This window comes from Homo sapiens, chromosome 7, assembly GCF_000001405.40.
Source record: "Homo sapiens chromosome 7, GRCh38.p14 Primary Assembly".
NCBI lineage: Eukaryota > Metazoa > Chordata > Mammalia > Primates > Hominidae > Homo > Homo sapiens.
Genome location: NC_000007.14, coordinates 86,881,510 through 86,899,677, shown reverse-complemented (window position 1 = coordinate 86,899,677; position 18,168 = coordinate 86,881,510). Strand labels below are relative to the sequence as shown.

At 36.9% G+C, this 18,168-nt stretch overlaps 1 protein-coding gene across 11 annotated transcripts in view; it reads left to right on the top strand.

Annotated features, from left to right (window-relative positions):
- The window catches only part of ELAPOR2 (endosome-lysosome associated apoptosis and autophagy regulator family member 2), a 182,749-nt gene that overhangs the window by 159,977 nt on the left and 4,604 nt on the right, over positions 1-18,168 (top strand). For 9 of the 11 annotated variants that reach the window (XM_011515918.3, XM_011515921.2, NM_001142749.3 and 6 more), the window contains 3 exons: positions 2,046-2,172; positions 6,578-6,756; positions 7,789-7,954. In XM_011515918.3, coding sequence (XP_011514220.1) covers positions 2,046-2,172; positions 6,578-6,756; positions 7,789-7,954 — 472 coding nt within the window. Of the gene's footprint in view, positions 1-2,045; positions 2,173-6,577; positions 6,757-7,788; positions 16,479-18,168 lie in introns of those variants that run through there. The other 2 variants (XM_047420041.1, XM_017011843.2) reach the window with 2 other exon arrangements.

Sequence of the window (18,168 nt, the reverse complement as noted above, 5' to 3'; positions counted from 1 at the left end):
GCATGTAAAAATGCAGTCAATTTTTAGACATGTAGATTTTTTTTTTAGTGTTCATATCTTAGGGTGTCTTAGAATATATTTAGTTAACTAACAGTATGAAATTTTACTTTGCTGTTAGACTGAATATTATAGTTTTGAACCATGTATCACTGGAAAGGTATTTGAAGTTAAAACTTCAAAAGAGTGTTTTTTAAATTTCCCTTACTATTTTGTGGCTATCCTTTTGCTGTTAAGGGTTTCAGGACACCTGTCCTCAGGACCAGCTGAGGTCTAAAGGAGGTTTTCAGGGCAAAGCCTATATTTATGTGGCTTAAGGAAGCCGAAAGTGGTAGACAAATTTAAATTCCTCTAGTTTTAATGAATTCATGAACAAAACAGCAGTTCTTACTAAAATCTGTCCAAATAGCTTCCGGCATCAATCAGTAAGGATTCTGTACACCATAGCAGCCATTAATTTTTCAGCCATGCTATGTTTACCTGTCCCAGAATGAAAGAGGCAAGCTGAGGTAATGGGCACACCCGCTAGAAAGAAGAGTTTCAAAAAGTCTCCAGAGCCTCCCTAGTGGTTAGTTCTTCGTGATCCTATCCCTGTGTCTAAGCCCCATCCACATCCATCATCTTCAGAGTAGTGAAGGTAACCACCTTTTCAGGTTGTCATTAGGCCAAGGAAACCCAAGATTGCAACGCTATTTGCATCACTTCATTGCATGTTGACCTGATGGTTGGTTTGTTTTTCACTTCAGACAATTTTGTGATGATGTCTTTCTCCTACCTCTAAAAGACCAGGGTCCTGTGCAGCATTCTATTCCCTAAAGTACCTCGCCTAAGTACATTACCTTAAACAGAAGTTACAACTTCTGTAACATATGAGGCCTTTCATTACCTAGTTTCTCTCCATATGCCCAGCACTCACTCATTGCGTTGCTCTTGAAACTCCAGCAATAATGACCCACATGTAATTTCCTGCCAATTAATCATACCTGTTCATTCCTTTGCAGGAATTTCTTTGCTTTCTTCTTTTCTATTCTGGCTAACTCCTACCAAATATTCTAGACTCAGCTTAGGTATCATTTCTACCAAGAAGCATTTCCAGAGCCTTTTTTTTTTTTTTTTTTTTTGGTCATTGTGTCTCTCTCTTAAATTAAAAACAAAAACCTTTATAGAAATATAATTCTCCTACCATACAATTCAGCCATTTAAAGCATATAATTCAGTGGTGTTTAGAGTATTCAGGGATGTGGGCAACCACCACCGCAGTCAGTTTTAGAAGATTTTCAACACCTCAGACAGAAACCTCATATCCTTTAGCTCTCAGTCCCCTATGCCCTAGTCCACTTCCCAGCCCTGAGCAACTACTGATTTACTTTCAGTCTCTATAGATTTCTCTATTCTGGACTTTGAATAGCATATGAATAGCATCATATAATCTGTGAAATTTTGTGACTGGTTTCTTTCACTTAGCATAATATTTTCGAGGTTCTTCCAAGTTGTGGTATGCCTTACTGCATTTCTTTTATGGCTGAATAATATTCCTTTATACAGATATACTGCATTTTGTTTATGCATTCATCTGTTGATAAACATTTGGGTTGTTTCCACCTTTTGGTTATTATATAAAATGCTGCTATAAACATTGATGTACCAGTTTTTGTGTGGAGATATGTTTTCATTTCTCTTGGGTTTATACCTAGGACTGAACTTGATGGAATAAATAGTAACTCTATACTTAATTGGTTGAGGAACTGCTAAACTTTTCAAAGCAGGTGCACAATTTTACATTCCTATCAGCTGTGCATGCATGAGGACACCAATATCTCCACATCCTGACAACACTTGTTATTATCTTTTTGATTCCAGCCATCCTACTAGGTACAAACTGTTATCTCATAGTGGTTTGTGTCTTTTAGACTTTTTTCCACTTGTGTTTCTTCAGCATCCACACAGTGCTCCCCAGCATGTGATAGGTATTCTGGTGTTGATTAGAGTGGATTGAATGGGTTAAAAAGCTGCCACTTATGTGTTTTTGGTTTTGTTTATGATTTTAGCAAGTGCCCAGCAGGTACCTGTGATGGGTGTACGTTCTATTTCCTGTGGGAGAGTGCTGAAGCTTGCCCTCTGTGTACGGAGCATGACTTCCATGAGATTGAGGGAGCCTGCAAGAGAGGATTTCAGGTAAGGGATAAACTCTCAAGGCAGAGCTTCGGCATTATAGTTGGTTAATCTGGCATCAAATCATAGAAACTCAGGTCCAGAAGTATGGCAAAAGCTTGTATTTAACTTAATGTTACATTGGTAGGCATTTAAAATCAAGTTTGGCAGCTGAACTCTCAGATGCTAGGGTAGCTGCAGATGTGCACTGGGATTGAGGAGAATGAATCATGATAAGGGAGTCACAGGCTTTTAGTATTTACCTGGATTATATGGGAATAACATCATTAAACCAAGATGTGATTTACATAATGTAGGTATAGGTGTAATTAAGATGGGGATAATATAACTGACTCACTATAAGAAGCATGCCTAAAAAGTAAAGCATATACATATAAAATCAAGATCCTACTCTATAGCTTCTGTGCATTCATACTTAAGTATTTTTTGTTTCCATTTTATATTTAATACATTATGAAAACTTTCCCTTCTCATTAAATATATTTTTAAAAACATATTTATTGATAGATATTTTATTTTTTATATAATTTGGTATTAAATAATTCCTTTGTTAGACATTTGAGAGAAAATTGAATACAATCTTTTTGTACATAACTCTGTAGCAAACGTCTGAAGGAAGTTTGATTTTGTTAGTTTATTATTAGAAAGAGATTAATTGAATCCAAAAATAATGGATATTTTTAAGGCTTGATACATATTACCAAATTACTTTGATCATATCAATTTTCACTTTCACTTCATTTTCACTTTCACCAATAGTGTTTGAGAGAGCCTGCTTCACTGAACTAGCTTTGAGTAGTATCATATGAAAAAAACAAACTTAATCTGCTTCAAGACCACTTGTTTACTATCACTCCATGCCCAAATTCCATTAAAATCATAATAAAGAAGCACAGAGGAAAATAAATCAACACTAATCCTGGAAACCTGAAGGGAGAGTGGGCACCAGAGAATCAGAGAGGGGAAGCAGTTCTGCCCAGGAAGGTCTTGAAGAGCTTGCAGTTAGCAGGATGAAGGGCAGGAGCTTGAGAGGAATGAAATCAGGATGCTTGCGCCCAATCCCATGCATTCCAAGTATTTGGCAGCAGTTGTGTTCACCTCACCCCTAGGAAAAAACCGTAGAGAACTATTCTCTAAGTTGGTGTTTTTCAAACTTTAACGGCAGTGAAACTATATTAAGAATTATATTGTACATCAAACCCAGCACACACACACACAAATTAGACACACAGAAATATGCCTAAAAGTGAGATAAAGTTTTAAGGAGCAAGATTTATTTTATATTTTATGATAAAGTACAAGCATAGAGTTAATGTAAAGTATATTTTTATTAATAATTTAAAGCATTATACAAAAAATAAGCAGACAACACAAAAACAAAAATTAGGAAATGTGTTATTTAATTTGTCAAATGTGTATCCTCGTAGATGGCTTATTTCAGTTCAGAGCACACAGGGTCAGTGCCGCTCACTCAGCTAGCACACTGCTGAGACAGTTTCTTTTTAATATTTTTAAGTAGGTCAAGGATAAAAATTCCAGATTCACAAAAATAGTTTCTTGTTAATCCTCTTAATAATGATAATGCTTTTTCTACTTCACAATAGAAATTCTTCTTTACCTTTACTCTACAATTTTGATAAACTGCTTATCTTATAATTGTTTTTTAGAGTAAATGAAAAACGAAGCTGCACTCCCTTTGGCTACCAAGTTTAATTCAAGGGTTTTTGAATAGCTGAATGATCTTTTATCCAAACATTCTTTAATATTTCTCTCCTGGAAGGTAATGAATGATGAGAAGGTTAAGACAGTAAATTTGCAACAAATTCTCTAATTTTATTTCATTCAAACTCTCTTCCTTGGTAAGGTCACTTCAACGTATTATAAGATTGTTGAGAATAGATAGTTGCTGTGTGATTCTTTAGTATTTGTTTTTGCCTTTAAAATGATACTTTTTGGATCACTTTGATGTGCTTGACATGTTGAAATTTATAACATACCCCTATAGTTACAAATTTAATTTGAGAAATACTGGAAGTAGTTAAATATATCCTTCTGTTATGCTTAGATACCAGTTTTGGAAATATTTGTCCAAGGAGCTTGAGCTTCAGTTACAAAACTATGAATGTCATTCCTGAGTTCATAGACCTTACTTAATGTATTCCATTGCAACTATAAAAAATTGGTATGATACAGTAAGTGGGAATAGCCACCTCGATCACTGAATAAAATATTTTAAAAAGTCAACTCCTCCGTGAGCTTCATATACAAATGACAAATATTGCTGCATTTTTTATTGTCAGTGAATATATGTGGATTTCTTTGGATACCAAAGCTTCGTGATAGAAGAAAAATAGTTATTGCAAAATATTGCAATGGGTATATTTACATTTTTTAACCATCCCGTTGTGTTTCAGTCCTATTTCCGACACCATCTTTACAATTTTTTACTTTATGTTGATTGAGCGTGCACTTTTCTAATTCTTTAAATATATCTAATACAGGCGCGTATGTTAAATTTATACAAGTCCTCCACATACAGCTGATATAAACAAAAAGAGCCGCACAACTTGTGATAGAAGTGCTCTTATCAAATTGGATCTCCAAAATCTATACTGGGTTCTAAGTGTGTATTAAGCATTACTTCTATATGTCATGCAGCACTAAAGATTTGAAGAGATACTGTGTTATCACTAAGGGGACTGTCTTAAAATTTATCTTTAAATTTATCTTACCCTGCTCACAAGATATTTCTACACACTAGAAGAATAAATTTTTCAGCTGCAGTGTCAGCCATTTTTTGTTTTCCAATGATGTGTGGTTGAATGAATAAGACTTTCTAATTAATAGTTATAGAATTACTAAGAAAAGTTGCCAATAGCTTGATTTTTTTCCATGTCGGTATTTGAGACACTTATTGAAAAGTTAAGCATTCTTGGTTTGCAAGTATTTTTTTTTAATTTTGAAGTTTTAAGATTTTGTTATAAGACTGTCATCAGACAGTAGAGCTTGCTGTTCTCATTGGGCATTGCACATTTGATAAAACCATATCAAAGATGGTACAGTCTTTTTTTCTTGTTAGAATGCACTTGAAATAAAGTCAACATTTGCTGACGAATTTGTTTCTCTCTGTATTGTCATTATTGACACTTAGAGATGCAGCAGATGAATTTGAACATGCCTCAGCATTTCCCACATTACCATTTTTATAAAAAATAATGTGACCCACTTAAAAAGAAATTGATTTGCACTAAGTTTAGGAAACACGTTTCAGTTATAATGTACTAACAAAAAAATCCAGTCACTAATATCCTTTCTAAAAAACATGCTGAAATTTCCTATCCAAAACTTGATTCAAACTTTTCCCCAAAGTGAGTAAGAGTCTCATGTCCCTTTCACTTCATGACTAACTGCAAAATTGTTTGTGTATTTAAATCATAAAAATTAACATTATGGTGTTATTCCTCTGTTAGAGTGTTGATAAAATGACCATCATATACCAGAAAGTTTAATGAGACACGTTAAAAGATTAGTGCCTATATTATTAATGTTGGTGGATAGAATCACCATGCAAATTGCTACTGGTCACCGTACATGTTGAAATATATAACGAACCATATGCTGTACTTGGATTTTCTGTTTTGATCTGCCTATTTGATCTGTCTATTTTAAAAAATTCCTGGTTGAGACCCAGTATATTAATATTTTATTATTCACAATTAGTTGTAACTTGCAGTTTGAAAAACATTGCCCTAAAGGAATTGCCATCTATTTCGGGAGGATGAAAGTAACTGGTGTGGGTAGTGATGACCCAGAATAATGCCCTCCTTATTTTGGCATGGGGAAGAAGGGTGTAGACTGTGTGCCCACTTACACCAGTTACCCAGCCGTGGTGCACCTGTATGTCCCAGGTCTAGGGTCTGTTCTTCCATTCGGAGGACAGGCTTATTGGGAAAATGGGCTTACATGATGGGTGAATGCAACCCATTTCTTAGATTAAGCAACCTAAGCTTTCATTCAAAAACATGAGTAAGATGTTTAAAGGCATCAAAATTAAAAAAAAAAATAGCCCAGAAGGTATGTCCAGATGGAGCCATTTTTATTCAACCTCCTTGGCATGTACTGTACTGCATCCTTCTCAGGTGGCAATCCATCAATCCATGTCTTTATTTGGTTTTTACATTTTTCATTCATTAATTCCTTATTCATTCACATATATTTTTTTCCTGTGTTTCTGGAGCTTTTATTAAATGAATGCTGAATAATCCTCTATGCCTACTGTAAGTAAAGGGTTAGCAAAACCCTTTCTTCTTTTATGTAAGAAATTGACCAGTGACAAATCTAGCTTTCACAGTTGAGTCTGAATTTCATTTCTCATGTCTTCTATGGTTTTATGTTTTTTTTTTTAAAGGAAACCTTGTATGTGTGGAATGAACCTAAATGGTGCATTAAAGGAATTTCTTTGCCTGAGAAAAAGTTGGCAACCTGTGAAACGGTTGACTTTTGGCTGAAGGTGGGAGCCGGTGTGGGAGCTTTTACTGCCGTTTTGCTGGTGGCTCTGACCTGCTACTTCTGGAAAAAGAATCAAAAGTAAGTACCCTCTGAGATGATCACAAGAGAGCTAGAGGGCCTATTTTGTTGTGAAAATTCTAGACTTGATCATTATATCCAATAAATAGATTCTCTCAGAGACACAAGAATTTTCTCCTTGCGAAGAAATCATAGGAAAGGCCTTGAGAAAGCAAGCAGAGGAAACGATTGTTATTCTGACAGTAGAAAGATCATAGAACATTAGAGATCATTGAGTTAGAGTCATTTATTAGAAAACAAGGAAAACAAGAGGCTCCATGTTATTCAGGTAGATGATAGCAGAGCTGAGATTTGGAAGGCAGGTATTCTCTCAGTGTCTGCCTTTTTTAAAAATGATATAATGCTGTCTTCTTCCTTCACCTTTTCTTTTAAAATTTCTTGTGGGAAGACATTTGCAAAAAAAACCAGACCTAGTGTATAGGCAAATATCACATTTATTTACTCCAGGTCTTCAAGTATCTGGAATTGAATATTGAGCCTAATTCCTGAATGTATTTTGATCTCTTATAGGACTTGAATCTTTTAGAATGATTTACACCTCAGTGGGACTGTGGAACTCCTATATTGTAATATCTAGGGACAATTGCAATATCTGGGGTGATAGTATAAAGGAATAAATAATATAGAGAGATGATAAAGACCAAATTACTTGCCTGTTTGATATTCTCATCTTTACGAACTAAATACTGGGAAAACCTTAGTGAATTGGCTTCCAAATATTCATGTTAAGAAAATGCATTCAGGCCTAAAAGTCCCTGCCCCCCAATTTTTTCATTATTGGACAATTCAATGTAAAGTGGTAGAATTAACTCTATTGAACTGATTTCTGACATCCTGGGAAATATTTCTTTGTAAATGGTAGATACATGATAACACACATATTGCTATGGCTATAGGCTAGGGAAATTTGTTGGTGGAGCAATTATACTCCAAGTCAATTTAATGAGCTGGTATATTACCACCTAAAATAAGTATTTATTTATATTAACATAAATGGATACTTATTTGTTTATTTATTTTATCACTATTTAGACTGGAATACAAATATTCCAAGTTAGTAATGACGACTAACTCAAAAGAGTGTGAACTCCCGGCTGCAGACAGTTGTGCTATCATGGAAGGAGAAGATAATGAAGAGGAAGTTGTATATTCCAATAAACAGTCACTACTAGGAAAACTCAAATCTTTGGCAACCAAGGTGAGAGTAGAATTTTAACCTGGTGTTACTGGGTGTTTATAAAGTAGAGGGCATATTAACCTAATAATAGCATTCACGCAAGCTGTTATTTTGCATGTTTATATCTCAGTGGGTATTTATCCAACAGAAATACTCTTAGAAGCACATGATATAGATACAATAATATTCACTGCAGCATTGTTTTCGTTGGTTGTCAAACATCATCAGTAAGGAGTTAGATATTTTCATCTGTCAAAGTGATAGAATACTATGCAACTCTGCAGCTGTTAAAGATTGAGATAGCTATGTGTACTGATAAATCAATAGGTCCAAGATAGAGTGAAAACAAATGGACTATTGTATTTATATTAAATATACATTTATGTTTGTATTTGCATAGCAAACTGTTAACAGTGGCTGCCTTTTGGGAATAGTGAACTAATGAGAGTGTTTAGTCTTTGAAAGCAATACATTTTTGTGATATTGGAATTTTCACAAAGATACTATTTTATAATATAAAAGTGGGGGCTAATAAAAGATATTACATTCATTCATACTGTTCCTTTTTTATGACAAGATTGTTTTACATAGAGCAAACAAAAGTTATATAAATTATTGAGGTATGTGAGGTAAAATATTGCTGGCTTTGGATTTTGGAACAACTACCATATCCAAACATAACATGAAACCATACATTGTTTGAAAAGACATTTTATTTGATATTTTTCACCATTGACTTAAAAGATGAGAAATTATCAGCTTACTTAAGATTAAAAAAGAATGAAATAGAAGAAAGAAGATGACTTTCAAATGATTTATAACAGGATAGACAAGAGACAAAATTTACATTTATAAAGAGTAATAGTAACCATTTCCTTGTACTCTCCTAATTTAGGCACATAAATATAGGGAATTATTTAAGAGTAAAAATGAATAAACCGTCTTTCCCTTCTACTAATGGTTAATTTTTCCTTTTATTAATATGAAGATGTAAGGAGGGTACTATTGCCATAAAATAACAAAAAAATAGTGATTATTAAGATCGGAGATCTTTACCCTACTTGCAAGCTAACAAGTGAGTCTGCTACAGTTTCATGGACAGTTTAGAAGACATGAGAGTCATGTCAGAGATGAAGGACAGTTTCGTATTCATAGAGTAGTGCTAGCAGAGTAATAACCTTTATACCAGCTCCCAAAGCCACAGGTAGCCCACAAGGCTGTGTTCCCACAGCGCTATTTGCAGAGGAAATGATATCACTTGGTTGCATTACAGGAAAGGGATGCTAGGCCTTAGGAACCTGAATGTTCATAATGAACAGTAAACATGCCCATCCTTTGCCTCAAAGGGGGCTATTATCTTTATTGTTTTGGACAGGTAGCATACCTGTCCATTGCTTCTGGGAGACACTATTTCCAAGACTGTAAGCAAGCCTACCCTTTGCTCAGGAAGGAGACAATATATCTTTATATTCCAAGGAAATTTTCTATACAAAGATTCTTGAAAAGATAGTCTAGAACAAAGGGTAATCAGTTTCTCACTTTTAAGATGTACAGAAATGAAAGAGAACCATGGAGAATTGTCTCCAACAACATCCAAACCTCATTTTTATACCATGTTGGTTTCTGATGAATTTTCCCTTTATTTCCCCACTCCATGCACCATTCTGATTAATATGACTGACTGAAGCTGGGATCAAATTTGATCAATTTGCTTTATACAGCATTTAAATAAAGCTACTACCAATAGGACACCAAGCAGAAGTCATCTCACCAAGATGAGGCCAATCTGTATTGTTAACCTCAACCCTACCCTCAGGGTCCCAGACTCAACTAGCTGAACAAATGCTATGAACCATCAGGGTTTACCTTAGAAAGCTAGATAGCTTTCTTGTGTTGACCTTTCCACTGGCACTCAGATATTTCCTCCATAAGATTTGGACAAAAAGGGGACAAGGAAATTTTCAAAATCTTAACAGAAACCCAATATACAGAAGTCCTCCCTTATTTGCAGTTTCACTTTTCATGGTCTTACTTTTTGTGGTTTTAGTTACCCACCGTCAACTGTGGTCTGCAAACATTACATGGAAAATTCCAGAAGTAAACAACAAGTTTTAAATTGTGTGCTCCTCTGAATAGTGTGACGAAATCTCCTACTGTACTGCCTTGTCCCCCCCGGAAGTAAATCATCCCTTTATCTAGCATATCTTTGCCATATACACTACCTGCTTGTTAGTTACTTAGTAGTCATTTTGATTATCAGATTGAAAAAAAAAACAAAACCAGTATTATAGGGTTTGATACTATACTTGGTTTCAGGCATCCACTGGAGCTGGGGGGGAGTTGGAATGTATCCCCTGGGAATAGGGTGGGGGGTACTGTATCTCTGATTTTTGTCACACACTTGGTGAGCAGTAAACTCAATCAAGTGGTTACTATCCTTTTGATCTAGGGTCATGGCAATCCAACAAGACAATCCAGATACATTAATCCAGGTACTACAGGATATATTAGTGATTGCACAGACTTTGTCTTGGTTCTCAAAGAGAAAGTATAGGGTAATTATATTGTGAATAACAATGTATGGACAGTGAGTTGATGTTGACCTGAATGCCTTTGATGGCTGAGGTGGTGTAATTGATTACTTCAAGCTAAGGTCAAAGGCAAATTTTATACCACCTTTTCTAACATCCATAACAGTAGGGGTATTTTCCTAAACAGTTGAAGATCTCTTATGACTACTCCTAAGGTGTAAGTTATCATGTTTTTAGTGAGGAAGCAAGTTAGTGTCTGACTTCTACACAAGAAGTGCAGTCCTGGAGGTACACATGGTGCCTCTGCAAAGAAAGTGTTATTCACAGTTGTGGGGTACATGAAGTGGGACCTACATTGTGCAGGCAGCACAGGTTGACTGTTCCTGTAAGTGGCTTCTTTGCTGGCTAGTAAGCCTTAGGGTTTCCAATTCACCTCATATAATGATGTCTCCTTTTTGTCTTCAGGGAGACTGCTTGAGGGAAGTCAGCTCAACTCTCCCTGTTTGTCCACACTGCAAACTAGTGACTTTTGTTCACCTCATGAAATGACTAAATAATGGCTATGGAAATGAGATGTTGGTGTTACTCTGGGGCAGGGGCTGAGGCCATTTCCTGCTCTTTTGGATAAATTTCTCAGTTAGTTTAAGGGGAATGGCAAATGAATTGTGATGAGAGCATGTGGTGGGTATGGCAGACCCAGCAGTTAGTTAAATTAAAGGCCTTTGCCATGATTTGAGAGAGCCACATCAGAGCATTTTTCTTCATAGGAAGGTGACAGGGTGACCCTAAAAAATCATATGATTCTTAATGTCCCTTATTTCCCCATACTTCTCAGGGTCTAAGCTGTCTCCTCCATTATCAGACTGTGTTGTTGTCTCTTTCCAGTGCTAAAAAACCAGCTTGTCTCATTTCAGTAACTATAATTTCACCTTATTTCTACCCATATCTATCCAGAACATTCATGTGCAAGAGGGATAAAGGCATTTTATAGAAACATATAGAGACTCAGTGTGTACCCCCGCTTTGTCCATGTGGGCCATGATAGGGGGACTTGGGGGGCAGTGCACTCATCAGGTGGTCATTATCTCTCTTATCTATAATCATGACAGCCAACAAAGCAACAATACAGGTGGTTAAACCAGAATTATATTTGAATTTCCTAGATCCCCTTCTGGGTGGGCTATCACTAGAAGTTGTACCCAGGAAGCCTGAGGTTACTGTTGGAGTAAATAACACATCATGCCCTAGATTGGTGAGGCAGAATCCAGGATGTTCAGATAAGTGTAAATAACCTTATGTAGTGGTGTATATGTGTGTCTGTCTGTGTGTATGTATGTGTATGTGTGTTCTTCCTGATCATTATCTGTGAAGTGGCCAAAAGGAGATGATCCCTTTCCATGGGCAGCCATATTTGATGACCAAACTGCTGTATTAAGATGTGTGGATCAGGAGGAGGTGAGGGAGATAGAGTCAGAAATCTTTTTGAGTCACTTTCTGAGAAGGTCTTACAATGCTCAATAGTACCATATGCTTTTGGACAGTAGGAAATGTAGAAGGTCCGCTGAATACCTCTACTCTCAACTAATTTATGGGTAGCTTTTGTGATAAAAAGTGTCCTATTGTCAGACAGCAAATGGTCTTTAAAGCTACCAACTTTATACTGATTTGTTTCAAGGTTCACAATGTATGGGTAGAGTTAGCTGATCAGACTGGAATAGCAACACCATACCCTGAACAGTTGTAAATAGTGGTGAGGCATCACCAGTAGCCCAAAGAGGTGGTCAAAGGTATTTTGTAATCAATTTGCCCAGGAAGAACTGGTCAACTTTTGGCATGAGTCCCAAGTCTGGCATCTGCAGTAACCTCTGCATAAGAAAAATATGTGCCCTTGTGCCCAGTCTATGATGGCAGATGCTTTGCCATGTTGGGGGAGATGATGGACCCATGCACCATTTGTGACAGTCTGTCTTGTCTAGTCTCTATCAGGAGCTTGATTCAATTTCATCTTTCATAAGAAGGATCCTTACCTGGGCATCTACATGAGTGACACATATTTTAATCCAAAACTAAGATCTATTTTAGTGGTATCCAAAAAGGGTAACCTTGAAATGCCAGTCTTTAATTTTCCAAGTGGCAGACAAAACAGCCAGCCATTGGCAATAGCTTGAGTCAGTAAGTCAGAAAAATATAATGAAGTTTATCAAGGGAGGTAATGTGTAGGTCTTGATAATGCCTTTGAGTTCTGTCCACTGAGCTGAGCAATCTTGTTGGTTTTCAGTTATTCATAGATGATTGAATATCTGTAGCAGCCAGTGGATACCACTGGGCTTCAGCTCAACCAAATCATCAGTGAACCAGGCCCAACATGTAGTAGAACCTCGATAAATCGAGGGTCCTATTGAGTCAGTGGTTTTGTTTTGAGCCGTGGAGTAGGGGATAAAGTTTCCCCCAAAGGGTATGCTGCCACATTTTTATGTGAGGCCTACATGCCACTGGGGCAAGACCAACTGCATTCTTGAATATATGCCATTCGTATTTGACAAGTGAGGCTTATTCAGCCTTTTCTACCTTGTTGAGCGACCATAAATGGGACTATCAAGCTGTAGAGTCACAAGATCTGGGGCATGGGAATGAAATTTAGTTTTGACTAGTTCAGTGACCAACTAATGGCTATAGCTGGTAGCCATATCAAGAGGTAATGAGTCTAAAACCTCAAAGGGTACCTCTGTCTCCTCTTGCCAGAGTCTCCAATTGGCAAAATCATTAGTTATAGAGAATTGTATCACAAAGTTGTCATTATGATTGTGAGGCCATAAAGGTAAAGAGTGTGCCCCAGCTTTCTGGACAGCTTTTAACATAGCCTGTTAGTTTGGGTCCAATTCAAAGGATACTATTTTGTAGGCTAGCTGATATAAAAGAACAAGTAGAATACTCAAATGCGGTCCAACACTGTCCCAATAGCAGAGTCAAGTAAAGTGCTGGGCTGTTTTTCCTTAACTGCTGGGTAGATTTAGCACTGTAAATCTGCTTACATAGTTCCAATGAACTTTACTTAGGTAGCAGGTCCCTGAATGTTTTGGGGGTTTATCAACCACCTCTGTAAGTAGAAGTGTCATAACTCAATCAGGGCTGTTGATATGGAGACTTCTGACTTGACACCAAAAGGACCTAATTTATATAGTGACTGTTTTGGGCATCAGAAGGTAAAGGAACTTGTGTGAAACCCTGACTCACCATTTGTTGCAAATGGCAGTTGGAAACTCCTGGGGTATCCTACTGCCTACTGGCCCTTCTCTACATGTAGCTGTTCTTGGTTAAGGGATCTCCTTTAGCATGTATGAGATGGGGAAGTACAAGCATATAACATCAAGTTCTACTGTATATTCAGATGTAGAAGCAACAACAACACTATCTTGAATGGACACATAGAATCCCTCCAAAGATCACATTATTTTCCCTTTTCTACTCTAAACCTTGCTCAAATCCTCTTATTTGTATGCTCCTCTTTTCCCACAGGAGAGTAGGTATGATGGTGACTTGAGTGCCTGCAACCAACAGAGTGGTAAATGTTTAAGAAACCCTCTCCAGGTTTTCCTAGCAGATTCAGATGGGTGTGTATTGTCCAGTCCCTCTTGGTAACAGGAAAACTTTAGTCCCCTTTCTAATTATCTTTTTTCTTGAAGCAGCTGAAGTTGGGGTAGTTTGGGAGGGAGGCATTAAGACTGAAGAGAGAGAGAATCTTTGACAGTAGACAAGATGTTTGCATTCACTTTTATTTTTGACCAGCATATCAGCTGCTAATGATCCAACCAACTTCCAATGCTTTCAATGTTTTTGGTCTACCCAAAGGCCTATGTTGAACAGCAAGGTTCTGTTTACTGACATCATTTATTTGAGCTTTGGGGACCCCTTAACTTAGAGGCCACTTTCATATTGCTTTTTCTCTGAGGCTGCAGGTTTTATGTCCTTTTGTTGATTTGTACTTGACTTGCATATTGGAGACATGTTTAAAGAATCTATCTTAATCCAGAGTATTTCTTGCTATTGTTAATAATGTTTAATGTAATTCCTGGTTTTAACATAAAAGTAGGGGAAATTTCCAGGTAGACCTGACCATACTAATTTATCTAGAGTCCTTTGGATCAGTTTCTCATTCTCTAGTGAACTTCTTCCGCGTTGTAAACCCAATCTGCGACAATAAGAGTCCAAATATGAGTCAATGCTTCACTAAGTTTTCCTATGGGAATCAGTCTCAGGGAAAGCTCTCTGTATTGTAGTCAGGACCCACTTCAAAATCTCTGGGACCTTTTTACTGTCATCTATGAATATATCTAAAATTTGCATGATAGATTGCAAGAGGTGTTGAGCCCAAAAATGGCCCACCTGCTTGTCATTCTGAATTGCTTACCAAACAGTCATTGAGTCCTGCCAAATTATCTCTAAAGTGAGTCAGTCAAAATTTTCGTAATCTCTCAGGTTTCTTCCCATAAATGATTTCCATTTTTCCCTTTTAGTACTCCTTGTAGATGATGCATGTCTCTGTAATTTTTATCTAAAAGAGGGTGAAACCTCCTTTGCCTACCAGGATGAATTTTAGCTGTACGGTCATACAGGATTGGTTCCAGGGCCCCTGAGTATACCAAAATTCAAGCATACTTAAATCCTGCAGTCAGCTCTGCAGAGCCAGCCTATGTGAAAAGTCAGCTCTCTATTTAGGTGGCTTTCACCTCCCACCAATGCTGTATTTTCAATCCGGGTTCAGTTTTGTAAAATCTGCCTATAAGTAGGCCTGTGCAGTTCAAACTTGTGGTGTTCAAAGGTCAACTGTAGTTCTTACCATGGGGCATACCTAAGGCTGATTGCCTGGTGAATGAGGAAGTCTTTCGGGCTAGAGGATAATTAAAGCATCCAGGGCACTGTTGAGGCAGGTGAACTGTGAATTCTTTAACCCATTTCCCAGTCAGTACTCAACAAGCAGTCACCTCTCCAATTAGAGTATAAAAAAGTTTTCTTCCCTGAGAAGATTCAGGGTAGTGAATTTTGTTTTGAATAGCAATTTTAGTTAGCGTAATGATTTTTTTACTTTAAAAATGAAATTTTGAAATAGTACAGAAAAGTTGAAAGAATCATACAGTGGTATAGTCATATGCCCACCATACAAATTTTATTATATTTGTATTATTACATATCCGTCCCTCCATCCTTTCATCAACCCATATTCTTTTCTGTTGTTCGGTTTCAAAGTAAATTGCAGACTTCAATACACTTCACCCCAAAACACTTCAGGGAACTTATCATTGATGATAATTCAATACTTAAGTTTGTTTTAAGTGAAAGGCACACATTACAAATATACAATTTAATGAATTTTGAGAAATGAATATACATCTATAACCCCCAATTCCTATCAAGATATAGAACACTAGTTCACCCCTGAGAGTAACATGTATTTTTACATGCAGTCAATCCCACATCTCCCAAAGGAAACTACTGTAATGATCTTTTTAAACCATAGGTTAGTGTTATCTGTTATAGAACTTCATATAAATGTAATCACACAGTATCTGTAGTATTTTGTGTACATTTTACTTTACTCAGAAAGATATTTTTGAGATTCATTCGCCTCGTGTTAACAGAAGTAGATTCCTTTGTATTCCAGAGTAGTATTCTATTGTGTAGATATACCAACATTTGTTTATCCAGTCTGTTGATTGATACCTGTGCTATTTCCAGTGTTTGACAATGAATAAAGCTACTATAAATATCGTTGCACATATCTTATTGTGTGTCTATTTTTAAGAAGTTTGTTATACATGATTTCAGAGAGCAAAAAATGTTTATGTTCATTAACTATTATGTCATATAGGGTTTGCTTTATCTTAGATATGCTCATTTATGTTCTAAAGGCCATACCTTATTTGATATTTCCCTAGCACTGCACTGCAATTCTCGGGTTTATGTATAGATTTATTATTCTTGACTTTTCTCAGCAATTAAAACTAAATCAATTTTTATGTGTTTCTTTTATTTATTTCACTACCATTTATGGGACATTGTAAGACACTTTGCCAAATTTGGGTGTTACGTCAAATTAGACACAATTTCTCAACTCAGACACCAACTAGAATATTAGGGGAGGACACATGTCTTTCACACACACACACACACACACACACACACACACACACACCCCTTTCAAACGATCATCCAGTATGTCAAGAACAAGAGTAGGGTGTCTTGCAGCATTGGGGAGAAGGGAGTGCAGTAGGGAAGATAGTGACAAGGTGAGGAAAACCTTCTGGGGGAAGTTGGCTTTGGAGAAGATTCTTGGGTTTAGAGCTGAAAAAGATCATCCTGTTTGGAACCCTTGTCTAATACATGAGTAAATTGAGACCTCGCGAGGTTCACTTATTTGTCCAAAGGGGTTAGATAGGAATTAGAAGTCATGTCTCCCAAGTTCCAATCCAGTGTTTTTCCTTCTCCAATGTGGTATTTCAATAGATTTTTATAACCATTGATTGACAACCTACCAAGTGGTAGGACTTGGGTCATATCTTAGGAATTAAACAATGAATGAGATATAGAGTTCCTGCCATTAGGAAGTCCCAGTCAGTTAGTGGCACTACCTACCTAATTATATACACATGTGTATGTGTGTATATCCCACCATTTCAGCAATAGGAGCACAATCCCATGCAAATGCAGAGGACAGGGCTATTAAAGCCCTATTATCTCAACATGATTTTATAAAGGATTTTCAGTGTTTTACTTTAAATATTACCTTGAAGATAACCAACAGGTCTCTGCCTTCCCTCACCACAACACCATGTTGAATCAAATTTTCTCAAGCAAAGGCTGCAGAAATCTCATGTTTTCTTTTGAGTTTATGGCTGATACCCTAGAGCTCTTTCCTTTAATATCCTATGAACTCCTTGAGGGAAGACATCTTGCTGTACTCATTTTTGTATCCCTAAAGTCTAGTCATGGTCCTGCAACAGAGACGGTGCTTAACAAATATTTCAACTGCTAATGGTTATTCTAAAAAATTGTTAAGGCTGTTAAACATGAGACCTCAGGCCAGTTCTCACAGAGCCAGTCAGCAGGAGCACTGAGAAGATCTACAGTCTGCTCTTCCAGAGGCTTGTCAGCTCAGCAGAGGCAGGGAAAAACTGATATGTTTGTGTGTATGCTATGATGTTTTTCTATAATCCTGTCCCTGTAGCCCTAAAGCTCTTGGATTTATCCACCCCAATGAAAGCAAACACAAAAGCAAACTTACCCTTCCTGACAGCTACTCAATGTCGACTTCCTATTATCTTCTCATGTCACTATTCTACTTTAGACATACATCTATTTGCATGTGAGACTGATTGGCCTCCTATTTCATTTATTTTAAAAAATAGTCATAGTTCTCTTCATTTTTATTCTCTTTATTAGCATAGTCTCCCTATCCCATTCCAGCAGCCTTCAGAAAGCTTTCTCTAACAATTAAAATGTTGGAAGAAGCCTGGGCAACATGGCAAAATGTTGTCTCTACAAAGAAATATAAAAATTAGGTGGTCGGGCGCAGTGGCTCATGCCTGTAATCCCAGCACTTTGGGAGGCCGAGGTGGGCGGATCACGAGGACAGGAGTTCGAGACCAGCCTGGCCAACATAGTGAAACCCCGTCTCTATTAAAAATACAAAAAATTATCTGGGCGTGG